The sequence below is a fragment of the Homo sapiens genome, chromosome 1, assembly GCF_000001405.40.
Source record: "Homo sapiens chromosome 1, GRCh38.p14 Primary Assembly".
Classification (NCBI taxonomy): Eukaryota; Metazoa; Chordata; class Mammalia; order Primates; family Hominidae; genus Homo; species Homo sapiens.
The window spans coordinates 165254418-165278603 of record NC_000001.11 but is presented as its reverse complement, the minus strand read 5'-3'; the positions used below and the strand labels follow the sequence as shown (position 1 = coordinate 165278603).

The following is a 24186-nucleotide window of genomic DNA, read 5'->3' as shown; positions in this document are numbered from 1 at the left end:
AGAAAGACTGCAGGTGAAGAGGGAGGATGGGGAAGAGAGAAGAGAGAATGCAGCAGGCAGGAAGGAAAAAAAAACTTGTGGCAGCAAAAATCCAGTGTTTGATTAGGAACTTGGCAGCAGGTACTCAGTGCCAAGTAGTAAGAGAATGTGAGAAAGAGGTTACTCCAAAAGAAAGAGGAAAGCTGTCCAAGAGGGAGCTTAGATTCTGGAAACTTCATTTTTTCCTGGAGTAGCTGCTGAGCTACGGGAGCACGTCCCAGACACAGCTCTTGATTTTCAGTGTACAAAGATGAGTAAGTCATAGCCATACGCTAGATGTTGATAGCAAGATGTCTTCATGACAGTTTGAGTTTGTGAGGTCATGGACCTCTGTGAGAATATGAAGTAAACTGGGACAGGACGTCAAGGTGGTTATGAGCAGGAGCTCTGGAGTCAAGTGGCCTGAGTTTGAATTCTGGCTCTGCCACTTATTAGCTTTGTGACCTTCCTTGGCCAAGTTAATAAATCTCTTGGTACCTCCATTCCCTCATTTTTAAATAGAGGTTAAAAACAATTTATATCTCCTATCCAAGGATTAAATTAGCTGATATGTGTTAAGCTCTTAGAATAGCAACTAGCACACAGTATTAGCTGTTACAACTATAGTTATTCTCAAAAGTTCACATAAAAACACTTAAAGCCATATAATTTCTGGGTGTCCATAGACTTCCCTGATGCTCAACCATAGAGTCCCCTGGGTAAGAACTCCACTTTATTTCTTCATTTATGTGACCCAGCAAAATGAAAGAAGCTTGATTCTTTTTGCCCCAAATGACATCAGATCCCCACCTTCCTTGCTCTGCTATTTTAGCAGCAGGCATTTTAGGTGCTGTGTGGAGCTGTAGGAGTTGAGGCTGGAGTACACTCAGCAGAAGGATCAGACCTGCCTGTGGCCAGCACTGACAGAGCAGGGGATTCCAGGAATCTGAAGCCCAGAGAGGGCTGGTAGAGTAAAGACGGACTTGGGTTTTCCTGGCAGTCAGGTGCTTTGCACAATTTATATGGCACAGTGACAACCCAGGATAAATTTGTCTCTGACACTAACATACATTTGCCCAAGGAGAGAGGGAGTGTCAAATGAGGGAAGACCCAGTGAGTGATATTGGAATACTCTGTGACCCCTGAACAGTCTCCCAGATTCCTGCACAGCCCTGGAATTCCCCTTCCCAAGGGGGGGATTTGGCAGAGATGTCTTCTGGAAGCTGGCGCTCCTGGTAGTGAGCCCTGGTGGAGAGTGGGGAGGTGGGCCGATGCCAAGACAACTTCATCGAGTGGACATGCCACCCACAGAGCCTTTCTGACCCCCACCTTCTATGACCAGTGTCTTCCTACTCTGGCTCGCCCTGCATTTGCAGTTCCACCAGCCCAGTAAACTTGCTGTACCCTCCTTACCTGCATCTTTTACCAACAAACCCACACAAATCCATTACTCAGGCACTCACCATTCCTGTGGCAAACAGTCAAGTGGAAGTCCCCAGAGCTGTTGTGCTCTTGCACCCTGCATGTAGCTTCTACCGCTCAGTTGTTCCTTGTCTTGAAGCTGCTAATAATTATTGACACAATTGTGGCATGCCTTGCATTTGGCTGATGATGGACTTCAGAGCCCAAATCTTGGGCTCAGGTAAGTTCCTCCCTTTACCTCTCTGTATCTCTTTACTGTTCAAAGCCCTGTTTCCCCTCCTGTAAGGTGGAGTTATCAGCAATAATGATAACAATGTCCAGTTACATGTACAGAATTCCTATGCACCTCATAAAGTATGTTCACATGCATTATCTTACTGATGCTATCCTCCTTCTTAACTTCCTAATTGTATGCTTTTTTCCCCCAACTCCTCTCTTCAGGTCTGAGTTTATTTCTTCCAAGAAAGAATAACATCAGCCACACTTAATTTTTTTTTTTTTTGACTTTTCTTTACAAACACTGCATCATGTAGTATAGCACTGTCTAACGTGACTTTAGTGGCCCAGTCAGGACAGGGTGATTATAATCTCAATCTTTGAGCATTGTGTTCACCCTGGTTTGGAGCATATGGTTGTAGGGCCACTGGCTGTTCATTCTCCTGAGGCTGGAAATGAGAATTGCTATCAATCATCAGAGTTGCATGTGCAGATTCTTTCTGGGACTTACAGCTACATGTTTCTGCCTGAGCTTTACCAAAGATAGGAAGGGTGAGGGTGGAGAGGCGGCTGCCTCAGCTGGAATCATTTTATGTTTAAAGAACTCTTCATCCTCAGGGGTCTGTTTTTAAAATCCCAGCAGGCTCTCAGTATCAGACAAGGAGGAGCTTGTCTCAGCATTCAAGACCTCTCTATCAATCAATTGATTGGTCAATGAGCAGGAAAAGGTAGAGAAGCTTTGCCAAAATATGCGGTGATCCAGGAGTTGAAGTTTGGCAAGAAGAATCAGAAAATGTATTCTCAGGATTGTAGCCAGGGATGATGCACTCTGAAGGGGCACACTTGATTTTTCCTTTCTTCTTTACATCTTGGCCCCTCCCCCTCTTCTTCCTGCCAGCCTCTCGGGTGGGGTGTGTGCATCCCATCACTCACACTCCAGCTTCCCTTTGTGAAAACTCAGCGACATTCCCAAACACAGTTGTGGCCATCTCCTTGCCTAGCCCCAGTCTGCTCTCATTCTCTGAGTTGGCTGGTGTTCAAACTCACAGGGAGGAAGACAAACACACACACACACACACACACACACACACACACACACATACACACACACCCCAGCGCCATAAAAGCTCTAGAAACCAGAGGCATGAGAGCACAGTCCTCCCAGTTGTCGTTCCTGTGTGCTGCACATTTTCATCCCTATACTTTTTTCTCCCCTTGCATCTGCCTCGTCCCCTCCACCAGCCCCCTTCCAGTCCCAAGAGTGATTCAGCAGCTCTTCTTCCCTGGAGAAGGATTACTTCTTGTTTGATGAATTGATTTGCTATAGAAATAAGGAAGGGGGCTTTGCCAAGGAACTGGATATGATGGGGGGCAACAGAGTGTAATTGAGGGGAACCCAGTAGGGATATATGGGAAGGAAGGGTCTATGAATATTGGGAGATGACTAGAAGTTACGTGGAAGTATGTAAACCTCTGTCACCCCAGTCGGATTTAGCGTGATAGCCTTTGGTATTTTTACTGGGATGTTTCCCACAAATGCTAACGAGCAGTTGCAGTGGGCTCTCCAACAAAGCCCAGACTGCTGCTTATTGGGGAGTGTTGTTCACAGTTGCTAATGAATAACTGCCATTAATGTATTAATCAGCAAAGTCAAACAAGTGACTCGAGGGACCCAGAAGCAAATTGCTTGCCTGATAGAGGCTCCAGCCTAGGACTCGGGGCTGTCGGGTGCTGTGAAATTGGGAAGAGTTGAGTTCTGTGCACTTCAGGGGCAATTTCAGATGTCAGTCTGGCTGTGTTTGATCAATGGGAAGCCTCATTTATTGGAAACCATAGGGTTCCTTTCATCATTAACTCCAGAGCTCCTATGAACCTATGAATCCTATATTTAAATTAAAAATTAAAATAAGACCAAAAAAATTCACTCTGGCAAAATGAAATCATGCTAGAACTCATATTCCCTCAAACAGGTAAGAAAATGGGAATTACTACCAATTATTGAGCACCTACTATGTGTCAGTCACTGGGCCTTATTGTATTTAATCCTCTCAACTACCTTATGAGGTAAGTGTTATTATTTCCATTTTACAGATGGGGAAACTGAGTGAGGCTCAGAGAGGTTAAGTAGCTCAGGGTTGCCTGTGAATGGGTTCCCACCAGTGTTTCACCTCTAGGGGAATTTCACGTTTTACCTTCATGGCACGTTACATCCGTGACCGCCATGGCAACGATGCCATAAAGTTTCAAGGGACATAGCAGCCCTGAGGCTGAGGCTGGAGACTGCATCCCACAGCTCTTTATGAGGGTGGTGGCCATCCATCAGTCCCACTGCCACTTCTGATTTCTGCAGTAAATACTCACTCCTGGAGGCCAGTGCTGGGAAGGTGGATTAGCTAAGGGCTGTTTGGCCATTCCTTAGCTCTCAGAATCAGCAATAAGTCCTTGCTTCTATGCCCCAAAACCGAAACCCCAAATTAGTTCAATTCAATCCAATCTAAATCAATCTGACCAACATTTATTAAGTACCTACTGTATGCTAAGTAGTATACTATGTTCTGAGGGTGCAAAAATGAATGGGTTCCTCTAGAGACACAAAGTAGTGAGGGTGGCAAATATAAACCAATATTTATAAATATTATAACATAAACCAGGGTAGATGTGTAAAATATTCCTTGAACACAAAGATTAAAGTGCAAATACATACGTGTGTAGAGGTATTGGCAATGGATGGGGGTGGCCAAGGAAGGCCATAGTTGGACCTGAAAGGTAGAAAAGAGAGAAAAAGTCATTCCAGAAACCCAGGCAGGTGTGCACTGTCCAGGACCCAGGACAGATGCATTACAGTCAAGCTAGGATGAGATTATATGGTCACTTAACCTCTGCATACCCAATTTCCTAATCTGTAAAGTGGGGATGACAATTATGTTTGACTCAAAGGGTGGCTGTGAGGAATGAATGATGTAGTCTAGCAGCTTGAGGAACGTCTTGGGTATGTAAGGGTTGGTGAGCACGATGATGGCCACATCTCTTGTCTCCACTGGGCACTACTTGTGGCAGCTCCTCATGGTCCTCTATGCCCTCCCAAGGGCGCCTCATTTGTAGTTGGCCTTCATTAAATGTCCTCTTGCACCGTCATCTTGAACTCTCACCTAAATTTTGTATTGTCACTTAGTTTTTTTCATGTAAATGCTTTGCACCTCCAACTAGATATTAGACTTATCTTGGTAAGGACAATATATGTTTTTGTGATACACATAGCATGGGGGAACTTGATACAGTGGACGCTTCATAAATACTTGTTTATTACAAATAAGATAGTATATAATGAAGTGCTGAAATGTGTTTGGTGGAGGGTGGAGGGAAAGAGTCATATCTAAGGAGACGAAATAATATTTAAGTGGTCAATATACAGGATCCCAGATGGGAAGGTGAGGTCTCAATTGACAAGCTCCAAGAGGTTCCTAGTTGGTTCACCTGACTTTCTTGACAGATTGTTTTCTCCTTTGAGTTGCCTGTGTGAATTGGCTGTGTGAATGGGCTTTGTATGGATGCAGATTGTGTGTCTTGGGACTTGCTGTTAGGAGGTGCCTACTGAGGGATATTGGGTTGCTTGAGAAGATGGCCAAGTGAGCCCCCTTCTGCAGACCACACATGCTAGTCACTTCTTGGAAGGGCTTGGGGTATGAGTTCCAAGTCATGACAGGTCATTCACTGACTATGCTGGCATCAGATATTCCTTCTCCAAGTGGTTGCTCAGAAAGAGTTCTCTGTCAGCCAGACACAACACATCTGCCCTTGCCCAAAGAGCAGTTCAAGGAATTGCTCTGGAGACATCCTCAGTAGTGCTCTTGCCTGAGCCAGGAGAGCACTTAGAGCTCCTCCCCGTTCATGTCTCCAGCTGGGTTGGTGCAAATTCAAACCATGAATGCTTCTTCTGGGACAGATGGGAATGTGGAGGCAATGCACAGCCTCCTACTTCCCTTTCATGCTGCCAGGGATGTGCTTATTAATGCCTCTGTGGTCCGTGGAAGAATGTTCATGGAGATCTAAGTCCTTACTTCCTCCCAGCTATCTATGTTGTCTGGGGACTTCTCCAGGCTGCATTCTAGGCTGAGGGCCTTGTTAGCCACAGGTTTACCCCCACTAAACCACACCATCAATAACTATCGCTCATAGACATTATGCAGACCCCTAGCAAACCACCCTGACTGCTCTGGGTACTCTGGAGCTGCTGGGTTTCTCTGTGGCTCCTATTTCAGCACTCGCCAGGCAATGAAACACAGCCAGCTGACTTCAGTTCATCCTCTTCCTTCCATGCTTTCCTGACATCATCTCTCCCTGCCCCCACAGCCCTGGTCCTCCCAAATCGCCACTATGGTCATTGTTCTGTGTTGATAGAGGGGTGCACACTCTCTGGCCTGGAATGTGCACTTGTTTGGACCCAGTGGAGGTGGAAACAGACTGAGGGGGAAGAGGCAGGGAAGGAAGCAATGAGGGTCTCTTCCACCACTTGGTTGCCACCCTTACTTTGCCCTGCTTTCAATGAGTGAATGAGGGTGGTTGATGCTTCAGCCACCAGTGTAACCAGATCTCTGTGGGCTCTTAAGAAATGGAGCTCTCTTCAGCAGCAAATGTTTGCAATTAACTTTAACATATGGTGGAATTTGTTTTTGTGTTCGTAAAGTATGATAGGCAGTGAGGATTTGGCAGGGAATGCATCCAGCTTGTCAAGCCCTGGGCCTGGCTGGTGGGAGGGATCTTTCTTCTCAGTTTGGAGGACCAAGCCCCTTGGTGGGCAGTGTGGTCCTAGATGAATTAGCTGGGGCCCTGAGCCCTTCCTCTGGTTGATAGGTGCAGCAAACCACCATGGCACACGTTTACTTATGTAACAAACCTGCACATCCTGCACATGTACCCCGAAACTTAAAAAAATATATATTAAAAAAAAGAAAGAAAATGTCCTCTATCTGTGCTGTCCAACATGGTAGCCATGAGCCAAGTTTATATGCTCCTGGAGAAAAAGTACTGAGATGCCTTAAAGTAAGGCAAAAGTGGGAAAGTGAAGACTTTGGTGCATTCTTATAGACAGTCTTATTCTGCCCCCAGCTACCTGGCATGGCTCTGTCCTGTCCACCAACCTAAATCCTTCCCAGCCCTCAAGAGTCAGCTCTTCTGGCTTCCTCTGGCTTGGCACATCCTCCTCCTGCCAGGTATTTCTACCTGCCCAGCAGCAAGGGAAGAGTGTGGCTCTCTTCCTTTTATGATGGGGATCAGCATCCTCTAGCCTTGGTGACTGTTGCTTCTCGGTCTTGGCCACTGCCCAAGACCTGTGCTCTTGGTCCACTGCACCCTCAATTGCAGGGATGTCCTGCAGGATCCATGTACTTCGATTAGCTATAGGAATAGGAATCACAGATCAGCTCTGTGGCCAGATCCCAGGTGAACTATATGAGTTTAGTAGGTTTTGGGCTGCAACAAACACAAAACTAAATGAACAGAGGCTTAAACCAATAGGAGAACTATTTTTACTAAACCTGAAGTCTGGAGGTATGTGATACTGTGTTGGTTTGGCAGTTCAATAATGTCATCAGGGATCCAGCCTCTCTCTATCTTTGGGATGTTGGTATCATTGTCCAGCTTGCTACCTAATACCTGCATGATGGCTTCTCATCCTCACAGGACAGGGTCCAAAGTATGAAGGAAAGAGCTGGGACCAGGGGGTTCTTCATTGTTTACTTCTTACTCACAGAGCAAAAAAATTCTTTCTTAGCAGATTTGCCCTTATTTCTCTTTGGCCATAACAGGACCACATGTCTTCCCCAAGGCTAGCCTTGGTAAAGGGGAAAGAGATGGGTTGGCCTAGCTAGGATAAATGAGGACTCATCCCTGGGTGGGAAATATTGCTACCTAATAAAATCAGGGTTCTCTTTGCAGGCTAGAAAATGGTGATTGGGAGGGAAATGGCTGGCTGTTGGGAAGGTAGCCAGCAGTTATCTGTTGTGGTGAGGCTCCACTGTTGGAAGAGGAAATTGTCACTGGGTTGTTTGAAACCATCAGAAAAGGAGAAGTCATTCCTGAGAAATGAAAGGCATTGGGATACGGGATCCCAGTGGTCCCTACTTTTCCAGGATTCTTTCCCATCTGTCCTGTGTGCTGGTCCTAACAGAATATTCTTCCCACAGTGTTCTTTGTTCAAGTTATCCCTATGCTCAAAAATGTGTTAAGACTCCCCATTTCCTATAAAATAGAGACTGAAGTCAGCACTCAAGGCCCTCTTCCATCCCACTCAAACCAACCTCAGATCTGGCAGGAAATAAGAATTTTCTAAAACATCCTGATACTCCCCTCTGCCAAAGAGGTATCAGTAAACCTGGTTCATTTTCTAACTGTTTGACACACCTTGAGTGGCTTTTGGCCTCTACACCCTTGCTCATTCTAGGGTCTCCACTTGGCTTGTCTGAACATATAACTTGGCCTGCTCAGATTCTTAATGTTTAAGGCTCCCATTTAAGTTATCATTTCCCTGGAGAATACTTCCTTGCTTGCCCCCACAGGAGTTTCCTGAGTCTCCAAATTTCTCTAGCCCTTGTTTTCAGTGTACCCACATGAGACACAGAATTGGACAGGCATAGATGATTTTATGGGGGGTATGAGTCTTGAGCTGACTCTTGAGGGCTGGGAAGGATTTAGATTGGTGGAGAGGACAGAGCCATGCCAGGTAGCTGGGGGCAGGATAAGACTGTCTATAAGAATGCACCAAAGTCTTCACTTTCCCACTTTTGCCTTACTTTAAGGCATCTCAGTACTTTTTCTCCAGGAGCATATAAACTTGGCTCATGGCTACCATGTTGGACAGCACAGATAGAGGACATTTTCTTTCTTTTTTTTAATATATTTTTTTTAAGTTTTGGGGTGCATGTGCAGGATTTGCAGGTTTGTTACATAAGTAAACGTGTGCCATGGTGGTTTGCTGCACCTATCAACCTATCACCCAGGTATTAAGCCCAGCATTCATTAGCTCTTTTCCCTAATGCTCTCCCTCACCAACTCTCCCCGCACAGGCCCCAGTAAGTGTTGTTCCCCTCCCTGTGTCCATGTGTTCTCCTTGTTTGGCTCCCACTTATAAGTGAGAACATGCGGTGCTTGGTTTTCTGTTCCTGCAACAGTTTGCTGAGAATAATGGCTTCCAGCTTCATCCGTGTCCCTGCAAAGGACGTGATCTCATTCCTTTTTATGGCTGCATTGTATTCCATGGTGTATATGTACCACAGTTTTTTAATCCAATCTACCATTGATGGGCATTGGGTTGATTCCATGTCTTTGCTATTGTGAATAGTTCTGCAATGAACATAGGCATGCATGTATCTTTATAATAGAATGATTTATATTCCTTTGTGTATATACCCAGTAATGGGATTGCTGGGTCAAATGGTATTTCTGGTTCTAAGTCTTTGAGGAATTGCCACACTGTCTTCCACAATGGTTGAGCTAAGACATTTTCATCATCACAGGAAGTTCTACTGGAGAGGGTTGATCTAAAGGGTCACCAGGGGAGATGTCTAGTGTGGTTGAAATTCTGGTATCTTTTGGTGCAGGGGCAGTTCCTGCATTTATTCTATTAGTTTGCTGAACTCTTATCCGCAATGTCTATTATGAGGATGGAAATGCAGGCTCTGCGCAAACAAACCTTAGGGAAGCTGATTCTCGGCAGGATATTCTAAGCAGCCCTGCTCTCTGCACTGGGAGAGATAACACCCTCTGGAGGTAGTCTCCAAATTGAGAGTCTAAGCTCGTTATCTCACCCTCTTTTGTCCCAGAGCCTCCAAGGGACTGAAATGTTCTTGGTGAGGTGATGGGAGTAAGTGGTGAAACAGGAAATCCATCTCTGGGTAGCTCTTGGTGAGCCTTTGGAGGCTTAGCCAGGGATGAGGTAATGAGTCTAGACTCTAGAAGAGGCCACATACTATTGGAGATTTCTCTCTGTCCTATTCCTTGGCTTTGGTTCCAGTGTATAGAAAGTATAGCTCTGCTTTTGAGGATTTTTATGTTGCCTGTCATATGGTCTTTGCAATGGCTTACAACAATTTTCATAACAATGTGAAGCACATGTAGACAGCTAAAGCCTGACTATCTGGATAACTGTGTACTATTTTACAAACTGCTTTTAGAAATATCTCCTTATTTGCTGCTGATGACTGGTGCATGGGTGTCACTAAGCCCATTTTACAGTTGAAGAAATTCAGGCTCAGAGAGGTTAATTACCTTGACTAAGGTCACACAGCTAATAAGTGGTAGAGTGGGGCCTCGAATCCAGACCTTTCAGTGCTCTTTCTGCTATATCATAGCTGCCCTTAAATACTAGAAAAAGGTATTTTAAACATACCTCCACCTTACTTACTATGTGTACATATTGGCATTAGATGTGGGAATATTTACTAGTGATCTTGGTAACAACATCTCTCAATGCCATTCCTAAGGCCTCAACGTTATGCATGTGGTTTGAGGCGCAGGGCTTAGTTTATCCAGTCAGTGTGCTCACTCCTGAGCCATCTGCTTCACCATTCATGATCTTGGCCTTAACACTGGCCCCAAAACATCAAGAGAAGAGTAAATATGTGGCATAGCAAAATTATATTACACAGTCAAATATGAATGCTTTGGTTTATGCAATATTTTGGCTTAGACTTGGCTTCCCTCATTATTAGATCAAATAATCCAGAGTGGTCCAGACTTTAGGCTCTTTCCAATATGAGTTTCTGAGAATTCTGCCTAGAGCATCTAGGAGTCTTTACTTGCTCTAAGTTAAGGCTGACACTCACTCCACAAGTGCCCTAGTTCCCCTCTGATCTCCCTCTCATTTACTTGTGGAATGTCACTCCAGTACTCCTCCCCAACTTCCCTCCTACATCCTGAAGATTTCTCTAGTACAAAATTATTCTTATCAGCAAACATTCTGTAATTACTCTCATTAAAAACAATCTTTTGACCCTAGATCCCCCTCTGTCTGTCACTCAATTTCTCTGTGTTCTTTAGTAAAACTCTTTGAAAGAGATGTTTACTCTGGGTCACCATGTCCTCTCATTCCACTGAGGCTTTCTCCCTAGACATGTCTTCCTCACTGACCTCCCCAGTACTGAATTCCACTGCCAGTGCTCAGTCATCATCTCACTTGATCTGTCAGTAACCTTCGGTGGGTTTCATTACTCCCGTTCCCTTGAAATATTCACTTGAGTTGGTTTCCACTTCACTTTCCTGTTTTCTTCCTGGTTTCTTCCTCTCAGTCTCTGTCATCTCTTACCTGGGGTATTTCAATAGCCTTCTCACTGGCTTTCTTCCTTCTGTTCTTATCCTCCCCACAAGTATCTCTCAACACAGCAGTGATAGTGATTCCATTAAAACTTCATCCTAGGTATAGGATGAAAGAATTGAAAACAGGCATTCAGATAACTACATATGCACACATGTTCATAGCAGCACTATTCATGACAAAAGGTGGAAACAGCACAAATGTGCATGAATGGATGATTGGATAAACAAAATGTGGTCTATCATACAATGGAATATTATTTAGCCATAAAAAAATGGAGTATTGACACATGCTACTGAACACATGTACCTCGATATATGCTACTGAATGCAATGAACCTAGAAAACATTGTGCTAAGTGAAAGAAGATAGACACAAAGGGCCACATATTATATGATTATATGTATATAAAATATCCAGATCAGGTATATCAGTAGAGACAGAACTCAGATTGGTGGTGGCCCACATTTGATGACAGGGAAAATGGTGGGAAACTGCCTAATGGGAAAAGGGTTTTATTTGGAAATGATGGAAATGTTTTGGAACTAGATAGAGGTGGTAGTTGTACTACATTGTGAATGTACTGAATATCATAGAATTGTTCCCTTTGAAATCTATGAATTTCTCCTCAATAAATAAAGGAAAGAAGGAAGGAAGGAAAAGAGAAAGAAAGAGAGAGAGAGAAAAAGAGAGAGAAAGAAAGAGAGAGAGAGAGAAAGCAAGCAAGCAAGCAAGCAAGCAAGCCGGGCACAGTGGCTCACGCCTGTAATCCCAGCACTTTGGGAGGCTGAGGCAGGCGGATCATGAGGTCAGGAGATCGAGACCACCCTGGCTAACGCGGTGAAACCCTGCCTCTATTAAAAATACAAAAAATTAGCTGGGCGTGGTGGCGGGTACCTGTAGTCCCAGCTACTCAGGAGGCTGAGGCAGGAGAATGGCGTGAACCCGGGAGGCGGAGCTGGCAGTGAGCCAAGATCGCGCCACTGCACTCCAACCTGGGCGAGAGAGCGAGACCCTGTCTCAAAAAAAAAAAAAAAAAAAAAAAAGAAAGAAAGAAGAGAAAGAAAATTAGTTCATCCAGCATGTTGCTTCTTTGCAAAATGCCCTCCCCTGGTTTCCAGAGGAAAAGTTGAACTCCTCCCTGTGATTTACAAGGCCTCTCTGACCTATCTAGCCTTTCCCTTGTAAATTCTCTAATCTCAGCTCTTACCTCTCTTTCTTTTGCCCCATCTTTGCCCCAGCCACACTGGACTCTACTATTTGTCCAAAGTGCTGGTCCTACTTCTACCTCAGGGCTTCTGCTCCTGCTATTTTCTCTGCCTAGAATGTTCTTCCCACAGATATTGGTAAGGCTCATTCCTTATCAGCTCCTTCAGATGTTTGCTCTAACGTCAGTTATCCAGGGAAAATTGTAACTCCTCCAGACCTGGCACTTCTCATCCTCCTTTACTCCTTCATTTTCATCCATTGCACTCATCTGACATTTAGTTGGTACCAATTTGTTTTCTATCAAATGTAAACTCCAAGGTCAAGGATTTTCCCCTAGTGTGTTTACTGTTATATTCCTAGAACCTGCAGTAGTACCTCAATATTAGCAGCTAGAATCATAGGCACCCAATAAATATTTGTTGTATATATGAATAAAACCCCTCCCTTAAATAACCAATCATTTAGGTTCCCTGATTACCTTTTTCACTATTTACTAATTATAAGGATCCTTGTGTGTCTTTGCGGGAGGTGCTATGAAAGTCATATTTCTCCCAGTTGTGCCTATAAATTAGTTGGTCATGAACTTTAAGTTGTTTTCTCGTTGGTGAAGCTGTGTTGTGGGTTTTGTCTACCCCTTTTCCTCTGCCCATCTCATGCAGTTTGGGAAAGAAATATTTTTCTTCATGGAGTTAAGGTACTGACCTGTTCTTGGAGGAATTCAGCCCATGACTGAAGTCTAAATAGCACTACATTTCAATGACAATAGCAATGACTAGGTTCTCTTCCAGGGTAGCTCTCATTGGTACAGTGCAATGGAGGTTGATGCCAGTGTGTATGGCTCCCTGTTCACAGTGGAAAGACGTGCAGGGCTCAGGGAGGCACTCGCTTTTGAGTGCCAGAGAAGTCTCTTCTTCCTGGATGTCTGGGGCAGTATCTACAAGCCTTTTGAAAGGGAACTCCACAAGAGCTCCTCTGCCTCTTCCTTTGCCAAAAGGCAAAAGTCTCCCTGCCCTTGTGCCTGGCTCTAGGTAATCTGCCAGTCACTGAATGATAGAGGCAGGTGTTTCTCTTGGAACCAGCAAGAGAAGCCTCTGGCCTTATCTTTTGACTTGGAAGAACAGGTCTGCAACTTCCTATTTTTGCAATTGTAACTTGGAACCTGAAGGTCCAAGCAGGGAAGGGGTGGACCCCTGGGGCTCCTTTTCCATTTTTTCTTTTTTTTTTTTTTTGAGACAGAGTCGCTCACTGTCGCCCAGGCTGGAGTGCAATGGCACGATCTCGGCTCACTGCAAGCTCCACCTCCTGGGTTCCCGCCATTCTCCTGCCTCAGCCTCCTGAGTAGCCGGAACTACAGGTGCCCGCCACCATGCCCGGCTAATTTTTTTGCATTTTTAGTAGAGACAGGGTTTCACCGTATTAGCCAGGATGGTCTTGATCTCCTGGCCTCGTGATCTGCCTGCCTCGGCCTCCCAAAGTGCTGGGATTACAGGTGTGAGCCACCGCGCCCGGCCTTCCTTTTTTATTTCGAGGCAGGGTATTGTTCTGTCTCCCAAGCTGGAGTAGAGTGGCTTAAACATGGCTCACTGCAGCCTCGACCTCCTGGGCTCAAGTAATCCTCCCCTAATTTTTAAATTTTTTTATTGAGACGGGGTCTCCCCAAGTTGCCCAGGCTGGTCTCAAACTCTTGGGCTAAAGCGTTCCTCCTGCTTCTGCCTCCTAAAGTGCTGGGATTATAGGCATGAGCCACCGCACTAGGCCTCCTTTTCCTATATCAACATTCCCTTTAGTTTCACCTTATAAGATCTGAGAGTGCACTGCCGCAGCAAAATGCAGACATCCCTCAAAGGTCGTGCTGTCTTGAAGACTTCTTCTGGTTGAGGACACCCTAACTTGTCATTATTTATTTCCATGGTTGGGAGGGGCTGTTATAAAAAATTCCTCCCCAAACTTCTGGCTGTAGCATGCTGTGTGGATTTCTAGTCTAAGGCAGCATGTATGTGTGTGTGTGTGTGCGAGCATATGCATGCTTTATGCATGTCTGTACACATAACTAGTCACTGTGATTTTAAACCAAGAATCCTGTTTCACAGGGATTTTTGTGGTTCTTTAGCTACTCATGTCTGTCCCTCTTCTTTAATCCTCTGAATGGAGCTGGGTATGGGGAGCAGAGCCATATGAAAGGCATCCAAGATGAAAATTATATTGCAGACTTGCACATGAGTTTTGTGGTTGGGGTGCTGGTGGGGGCTGTGTGCAGGCTTCCACCATTCCTCCTGTTTTTTTTTATTTTTACCCAGTCCCTCCTTGCTTGTTTCAGCGTAAGTCACAAAGTTAATTGATGCTCTCCTGGGTTAGACTCATCCTGGATTGTTGATCTCATTCTGGATTTTCTTTCAAGTATTGGAAGGGAAACTCTTGCCTTTCCTTTCTAGGTAAAATATTTCAATATAATTGATAACCTTCTTCATTCAGCACTACCATATCAGGAGCTTGTGTTGATAATGGTGGTAGTATTACCTTGTAGTCACACAGAGCTTTTAATTTGCAAAATACCATCCTACCATTTGATGAGGACAACCCCAAAGCTAAGTTAGGCAGTGATATAATGGCAGACTTGATTTAAATCCTGGCACCCCCAAATACTAGCTGTGTAAAATTGAGCAAATTACTTAAACCTTCATAAGTCTTTGTTTTCTTGTCTGGAAAATGGGAATGAAATAGATTGCTAAATCACAGATGAGGGGCATGATCTGATTTAGGTAGTAGGATAACCCTGAGTGTTGTGCTCAAGATCAGCATAGCAGGTGACAAGAGGAAGCAAGTGGTCCATTGAGGAAGTTGTGGAGGTAACCCAGGGAAGATATGGTGGAGGCAGGACTATAGTGGGAGCTGTGAGATAATGCAAAATGACTGTCCTGGCTATTCTTTGAAGGTGGAGCAGAAATTGCTTGTTGGCAGATTGGATATGAGATGCGGAGGATAAAGAAGTCAAAAGTGAGTCCATGATGTTTGTCTTGAGCAACAGGTAAGATATAGGTGCCATCCATCAATGGAAATGGAGAGGTTGTGGTTGGAGCAGATTGGAGCCAGAGTGAGGTGGGTGGGAAAAGATCAGGAATTTTATTTTGGTTTTGTTAAGTTTGAGACTGTGATTAGAAATCCAAGTGAAGATGTTGAGTAGGTAGTTGGGTATACAAGTTAGATTCAAAAGAGCAAGCTGGGGTGGAGATAGAAATGTCAAAATCATTTAGCAAATGTATGATATTTAAAGTAATGGGACTGGATAAGATCCCTAAGGGGAGCGAGCATAGATAAAGAAGAGAACTAAACATTTCATGGTCAGGGAGATGAGGAGAAATTGGTAAGGAAGAACAAAGCAGGAGTGACCAGGTGGGAGGAAAATCAGGAGTGAGCAGTCCTGGAAGCCAAATGATTGATGATGTCCAAGCCTGCTGATGGGCTTAGTACAATGAGGACTAAACACTGTGGAGGTCATTAGTGACCTTCACACGACAATTTTGTTAGAAAAGGTGGGATAAGTACCTGATTGGATTGGTCTAAAAAGAAAGGAACTGGAGATAGTAAATAGAAGTAATTAAAATTTTTTTTTTTCTACAAAGGCCATCAGATAAATGAAAAGGTAGCTGGTAGAGGAAATGGAATCAAGAGAGGAGTATTTTTTTTTCCAAAATGGGAGAAACAAGAAAAATATTGTAAAACATATTTGCAAAGAGGGAGAATATATGATATAGTTTTTGAGTAAGCATGAAGTGACAAAGTTTAGCACCTAAGTGGAAGAGTTAGCCCTTGATAGGAGTGTAGGACATTCAAGAAATCAAGTGGGAAGGGGTATCCCTTTGGCAAGTCAATATGAAGAGACTTGAGCAGGATTGCATTTGGCATCATATAATTCTGTCTTGACTAATTTTAATAGAGAGCTTTAATTTTTCTCACGAAGAGGGAGTCCAGAAGTAGGAAGTCCAAGGAAGGTGTAACTGCTCAAGAAAGTTTTCAAGAATTCAGGCTTCTTTCTTCTTTTTCTGCATTCTTAACAGGTAGCTTTCATTCTCTTAGTTCCAAGATAGCTGTTTTATCTCTAAGTATTGCATTTTAATTCCAGGCAGAAAAAAAGAGAAAAGGTAAAGAGCAAAATGTATGCACCAGCTGAGATTGTCTCATTTTATTAAGAAAACAGTAGCTTTTCTAGCGCTTTCCTCACCAATAGAATCCATGTACTACCTCACATGGCTACCCCTAGCTGCAAGGGAGGCTGGTGAGAGTTTCACTTGGGAACATAATCACCTATATTTTGGTTATAGAAGGTAGAGCATAAATGATGATTGTGTCTTCCAGTTTAAAAAAATTATAATTTTTTATTTTTAAAAAAGTATGGTAAAATACACCTAACATGAAATTTATCATCTCAACCATTATTAAGTGTACAGTTCAGTGGCATTAAGTACATTCATACTGTTGTGCTACTATCACCACTGTCTATCCACATAAGTCTTTTTATCTTGCAAACTAAAACTCTATGCTCATTAAATAGTACCTCTTCATTTTCTTTTCCTGGAAGCAACTGTTCTACTTTCATCTCACTGAATTTGACTACTCTAGGAACTTCCTAAGTACCATCATACTGTATTTGTCTTTTGTGACTGTCTTATTTCACTTATCATAATGTCCTCATTATGTTGTAGTGTATGTTAGAATTTTCTTCCTTTTTAAGGCTGAATAATATTCCATTGTAGGCATATACCACATTTTGTTTATCTGTTCCTCTGTCAGTGACACCTGAGCTGCTTTCACCTCTTGGCTACTGTGCATAATGCTGCTATGAACTTGGGCATACAAACCTCTCCTTGAGTCCTTGTTTTCAATCATTTTGGCTATATATGCAGAAGTAGATTGCTAGATCACATGGTAATTCTATTTTTAATTTTTTTGAGGAAACTCCGTACCGCATTCCACAGCATTGCACCATTTTACATTCCCACTAACAATGCACAAGAGTTCCAATTTCTCTACATCCAACACCTGTTATTTTCTTATCTCTTTGAAAGTAGCCATTGTAAGGGGTATGGTGACTTCCAGTTTTTAGTGGATGGAAGGAGAGTTGAAATGGAAGGATGGGGAGAGAGTTGAAGAATAAAAAGTGTTAAAAAATTGAAGGATATAAATATTTTTAAAAATCAAGAAACAAGAACGGTGTCACTTCCACCGGATCAGACTTTATTGAAACTTCTATGGGGTTCTCGAGACATCTGAAGTCTAACATGAAAGGAAGGCAACATAGTTCTGTGATAAAGAGGCTGCTTTGGGGATTCAGGACCCTGAGCTTCTGTGCACAGGCTCCATTACTGCTGGATTTTGGAGTGTGTATAATGTGCCACATTCTGCTGTTATGCCAGTTTTGCCCTCTGTATAATGAATGTAATTGAATAAGATCACAGAATTTGACCCCCTTCTCAATTATTTCAGAGCTAAGATGTTTACACAAGATTGCATGTGCTTTGAGATCCTTGAACTAAAGGCATTCTGGAATTAAATAATCCAGAGATATTTTCCACCCGTCAGTTAGAAAGGGAAAACCCCATAGCAGCTCCCTGTGGTTTTTATGCCACAGGGAGATTTTTACTCAGATTGTCAGTGGATGCTTTTCTTTTCTTGTTTGCCTCCCCTACAAGACTGGGTGACCCTTGAGAACAGGAGTCATGTTTAAGGAGGAGGATGATCATCATAGCTGTCAGTGTTTTGAGCATTGTTATATGCTAGGCAGTGCACCAGATGATTTAGGAATGTAATCATTGGTTTTCAGAATAAATTTAGTTCCTAATATAGTGCTGCTGGAAACAGTTGATTCTAGGAGCTCTTCAGCTGTGACACTATGGCTTTAAAAAAAGTTTCTTTTTGGACATATAGCACAATGGTAATAATAAGTGAAAAGTGATGTTGACCAAAGCAAACAGGATTTATGGAGAGTTTGGTGTGGCTTGCTGAGATCCCAGAATCTTCCCCATCAAAATACCATCAATAATACCCTTGTCCTTCCTGTTATCACACACACATGCACACACACACAGACACACACACACACACCAGGAAATATACATTCTTTGCAAGAGTATACATTGTATTGGCCACGTGCCATCCAGCCAAGCCAAAAATTGTGGAACAATAGGAATCTGTGCCCAGAATATCAGCTAAAAATACCTCATTTCTTCTGCTCTGTTGTTTTCTGGGTATGTTTAAGAGTGTCCCAGGAGGCTAATGAGGATGAAGCGAAAGGAAAACTGACATTTTCAAAGGAAACCAAACCTTAACTCCCTAAAAGGAAAACGGATATTTTCCATATGTCTGTTTTATGTTTCTTGCCATTTGTGCATATCTGTGTGGCAATATGGAAAGTCTATAAGTTGTGCCACCTTGGCTTGAGTTATTGAAATCCACACTTTCACCACAGTCTTTTGCTCTAGGGCTTGACTCATAGATACTTTTCAGGTTTCAACAAAGAAGAGGGGGAGGAAAAGAAAGCTTCCAAGTAGGAGAGACTCACTGTCCCACACACAGTGCACTCATTCAGCTTGTCTGACATTGTCTACTCATTTAGTTGTTCAGAACACTGCTTAAGAGCCTGGAGGAGTACCTTTTCATCTCTCATTGGGCCATGGTATAATCTCTTTAGTTTCTTGATCATTGACTAAGTCTCAGGCTCTGTCTGATCCTCTCAGCAATCATAGCTTTCTTTGTGGTCTGAGGTAGATTATTGCCCCTTTATCGGCCTTGGTTTCTTTCCATTTGTAATATGAGGAGAGAGGTTGACTGCTCTCTTGGTGGACAGGAGGTCAGATAGCCAGGGAAGCAAGGCAAGGATAGGGATGTCTCAATACGTGTCCACACAATAGTCAGCAGCCTCTGTAAGAAGCAGTCATATGAGAACCAAAATGATGTGGGGAAATGGTCTGTTTTAAATATTTGCAAGGTAATGTCAGCATTAACCAAATAGCAACTGTTGGCTCTGGTTGGCTAAACATGGAGCTGACAACTTCCTGAACATATGCTGGGTGTTAGGCAATGAATTTGTGTGTGGGTCAACACTCGTGGCCAGTGTCAATATTGACCTTGGGTTAGGGTAGACCATAGCCATAGCTGCCTGAATGAGATGTACCCTCAGTTTCCTCTCAAGTGTTTGGCCTTTCACAGTTGTTTGTTGGTGTCTTCTCCAGTAACATATGAAAGGCTGGTTGAAGTTTGATTTGATTTGTTATAATAATGAGGGACAGAACCTTGAGATACATATAAAGTTCTATTTTTGGCTCAGTTGGCTGTCTTGAAATAAATTATCTTATATAAATATTTACATGGGCAGATATGGTAAACTGATTTTAATAAAGGGAGTTAATGGCTACTACTTATTGAGAGCAGCTAGTATGTGTCAGATACTTAAAATACACTACTTACTTAATCTCCAAAATATCTCATAAGGTTGTTATGATCTCATTTTTAGAGATAAAGAAGCCGAGGCTCCAAGAGAGTTTGTAACTTGCTCAAGTTCTTAAAGATAGAACCAAGGTTTGAATACAGGTTTAATCAGATGTCAAAAGCTGTCCTCTTCCCACAGTGTCTTGCTGATTCTGGAATGGACACCTTGCGAGAACAAGAAAAGCACTTAGTTAGTCTACCATTTCAAGGTAGAAACCACCCATCGCCAGCAACATTTGTGATAGATGAAAAACCATGTGCATTACCCTGCCTTTCTTGGTGAGGCCAGTGCCTTGCGGAGCCTCTGGGACGTGCAGACATCATACTTAGCAGTTCTCACTCCCACTCGTTCATCCCATTGTATGGTCCTCCTTATAGCTCCCCAGGAGCTGCAGGCAGACAGAGACCCTGATTGGCTCTGCCAGCCACTTATTGTTTCCCATTTTCTCACCACTGCAGAGTCTTGAGACTGTCTCCTATAGAAGATCCTGCCACTCTATTGTCCATGCAGACTTTCCCACCACCCCAGGACCATGTGCTCAGTTGCTTATTGTGGTGTTGTTGGCTCAGCCTCAAGGACAGAGACCTTGAGCCAGCTGACAAGGTTGCTTGTGTCACTACTTCTAAGGCCACAAGCCATGCTTTTGGTTCCCAATACTTTTGAATACCCTTCTCTCACCATCTCTCCTTCAGTTTAGCCACATGGTCTCCCAGACTCCCAGCAGCAGATTTTCCGGCAGACAGTTTTGGCTTATGGCCAATCCCTGTCTCTGCCTGGATGACCTCAGTTACCAAGTCAACATGGCACTGAATGAATGCTGCTATGCTGCCCCCTGGTGGAGAGGTGGAAACTGAATGATACACAGATTCCTGCCTTGTTAAAGAGCTGCCCCAAACCCTCTGTTACTTTCTAAACCGGAGGGTTCATATATCTCATCAAAACTCATATCGGTGGTGCCTGGAGAAAGACAGCTGAACTGTAGTAGACTACTGTCCAAAGCTACAGATGGCTGTGATTTCTTATTTTGGTGGGGGCAAACACAGTACACTACAGTTGGCTCAAACTGGCATCAGGGTTTTTCATGGGTTTGCCTTGTCCTCCATCCTTCTGCTTTTTTGTCTATGTTGTGGAGGCTTTGAGAAGCTCTTTTTAAGGTCTGCAGGACTTTGGGATGAGGTTGATGAAGATCTTAGCCTCTCTCTGGGTGGACTTCCTCAGGTCTTCCTGGGTCCAACCCTGTCCCCATTGGCTACATTTCTGCCTATATCTTGAAAAGAATGACCTGACTTGCCAGGCTCCCAAGGGAATGGGGTTCCAGCAAGATTTGTCTTGTTTCCCAATCTCTTTGGAGTCACAGTAGACTCTTGGCTGGTGGTGTTGGGTCAGAGTGTCCCCACACACTATTTGTTCCTAACCCACATCCATAGAGGGTAGGCCTCTTTCAGAAATCCCTTTGGGTATTTTGGGGTCCATGAGCTGAGTAGCCTCAAGGGATCAACTTTTTTTTTTAACTCCTGCCTTTCACCTACCTACATGTCTGCAGTGGAGTCTCAAGACCTTCTACAAAACCATGGGCCTGTTTCGTGACCCCCTCATGAGCTGAGGCTGCCATCTTAACTGCTTGATCTTTCTACATGTTTCTCCTATGAAGACAGTGCTAGAGAGCATGTGAGAGAGAAATACAAAACAGGACCCATGAGTTCGCCATCCCAGAGTGGTTCTCTCCTACGGAGAGAACTGAAATATGGTCAGATTCTCTTTGAGTTCATAAAATAGTTCTATTTACCCCATCCCACAAATTTAGTTAGATAATGGGTAAAAAGAATATCACACTTTCTAGCACTGAGTGGGTACTCAATAAAGATTAATTCTCTTTTTCCTGTCCTCCACAAGCCCCCTTCCTTTGCAGAAATATGATTTTTGGAGCTGAAATATGTTCTAACAATGAAGACACTGATGTTCAGAACAGTAGGGTGATTTTCCTAAGGTTACACAACAGGCACTGAAATCCAGGAGTCCCTAGGGTGTCTCGGTGTGTTGTCATCTTGCTACCGTAATGCCTGCAGTACAGGGGTGTGCTGTTGCATCCCGAAATTCAGTGCTTCTTTGTTGATTGTCATAGACTTGTCCACTAGTAGTTTCTCAGGCATCAAACCTTCATATGTGCTTTTGAAACATTCTTGTCTCCTTGGTTACAGAGGAGGCTTCTCAACTCCTGTAATAAAAGCTTGAAATATAAAAATGGGAGTAAGAAATTATCCAGCCTAGTGGGTTTCCAACCTGCCTTAGGAGCAAAATGTTGTCTTCCAATGATACTCTTCTATTAATAGAATAGATATCATGTCTTTTGGCTTTAGCTGTTTTATATTTATATATATTTGAATGATATGGTTCTGGAAAAGATTTTGTTTAAGAATTACCATAGCAAGGCAGTGTCATGGTAAAACACTATCTGGAGACCTGAATTTAGGTGTGAATGGAGTGGGTTTCTCTGGTTGAAAGTGTGTGGAGACCTAGGAAACAGAGTCATCCTTCCTCCTCAGCCTCTAAGTTCTTGACAACTCTGATCTAGGACAGAACTTTTCCATTGAGAAATGGATGATAAGATAACCAAGATTCAGGGAAAGGTGGTGGCTTTTCTGAGGTCCCTTGGAAAAGGCAGCACTTTTGAGCCCAGATTTCTCATGCCAAGTCCCGTGTTCTTTCCCCAACACCTCACCTAGGGCAGGATGGCTGAGTTTGGTTACAAGAAATACTGCTTCGATCCGATTTGGTGGAGAGAGGGAGAGACGCCCACGGCTTGGTGTAAGGAGCATGTTCTGCCTGCACCACGAGCAGTGTGTCTCCTTGGTTCATCTTCTGGGTCAGCACTATGCTCTGGAGATGCAGTCATGCCCATGTCAAAGTCATGCCCACGCTCATGCTGCGGAGGAAGTGTTCTCTTAGAATGGAACTCACAACATTCTTTTTTTTTTTTGAGACGGAGTTTCGCTCTTGTTGCCAGGCTGGAGTGCAATGGTGTGATCTCGGCTCACTGCAACCTCTGCCTCCCGCGTTCAAGCGATTCTCCTGCCTCAGCCTCCTGAGTAGCTGAGATTACAGACATGCACCACTATGCCTGGCTAATTTTGTATTTTTAGTAGAGACAGGGTTTCACCATGTTGGCCAGGCTGGTCTCGACCTCCCGACCTCAGGTGATCCGCCCACCTCGGCCTCCCAAAGTGCTGGGATTACAGGCGTGAGCCACTGAACCTGACCAGAACTCATAAAATTCTTAAGCAACAAGAACGATGTTTGAGGCAAGAAAGAAAAATCTGCAAAGGTCAAATGATAAAGGCCCAAAAAATTGCACTACACCTTATAGGTCACAAAGTACTCCATGTACATTTAATCCTCATTAGTCCAGAGATGAAGGCATCATTATTACCTTTTACATCAAAGCAAACGGAGGCAGCAAGTGATGAAGTGGTGTTCTCCCAGTCATGCTGCCTGGATGTGGCAGAACCTGAGAACCCAGGCTCTCTCACCAAAACTGAAAGTTATGCATCTTATAGCTTGCAGCTGTGCAAGAAGAGATGTAAGCAAGGCATTGAATAGCATTTCAGCCAACCTCTATTTTCCTGCTTGGCAGAGTGAGTGGAAAAGAGAGAGTGAGAGGAGGTGCAGGGAGAAAGAAGAAAAGAAGATGAAGTGTGAGACAAAAGATTCTGTGACCTTTAGCCTAAGCTAAGCGCATAGGTCTCTTCTTTGTGCTATTCCCAGCTATTTCTCTCTGCATATCCCAAACACATCCTACTGAGGTCATTTATTTAGAGTCTGCTGCCTTCCAGAGAATGTGAACTCCCTAAGGAGAGGGACAGCCTTATTTATCACGGCATCCCCAGAGCCTTCCCCACAGAGAGTGATCAATAGAGGAACAGCACTGAGTGCTTAGTCTCTGCAACTAGTACTGCCATGGATGCTTTTCCAGGAGGTAGATACTATTATTCCCATTTTACAGGTGAGGGAATTAAATGCAAAGAGGAGATAAGGAATCATTTGCAGAGCTTTCAGGGGTAGGAGAATTTATGACATCAAGGAAAGTTGGGTGGTGTTATGTATGCCTTGATGAGCTGGACATCTCTGGAAGCCTTTTCCAGCTTGCCAGGGCACAGCCAGGCTGCCAGGCTCTGAACCCTCAGCGATGTCTCATTAGCATTCAGTGGGGGAAGTAACCATGGGGGATGCCATCCAGAGCATTAGGAAGAGACAGGCTGTGTTTTAATTATGACCTGGACTTTTGAACAAACCCTTTTCTCTGCTTGTCTGAGCCTTAGAGAAAACAACTTGTGGGAGGTGTACAGTCAGCAGCTGGGTCCACAGCGGTAGCCGTACAGCTGTGTATACATCTGGCACACAGGTGGTGGACCACATGCACCTTTTCTCCTTGAATTACTCTGGGGTTAGTGAAGATAACAGGAGTCAAGGTAGTAAGACGAAGTTGATCTGGTTTGAACCCAGAAAGGGAGGGAAAAACAGAAGGAGAGAAGAAA

At 43.7% G+C, this 24186-nt stretch overlaps 1 protein-coding gene across 4 annotated transcripts in view; it reads left to right on the top strand.

Annotated features, from left to right (window-relative positions):
• The window catches only part of LMX1A (LIM homeobox transcription factor 1 alpha), a 154849-nt gene that overhangs the window by 78112 nt on the left and 52551 nt on the right, over positions 1 to 24186 (top strand). Inside the window, exon 1 of one of the 4 annotated variants that reach the window (XM_011509538.4) lies at positions 15083 to 15196. The exons of the other annotated variants lie outside the window; for them this stretch is intronic. Coding sequence (XP_011507840.1) covers positions 15174 to 15196 — 23 coding nt within the window. The 5' untranslated portion in view covers positions 15083 to 15173. Of the gene's footprint in view, positions 1 to 15082; positions 15197 to 24186 lie in introns of those variants that run through there. 4 annotated transcript variants of the gene reach the window in all.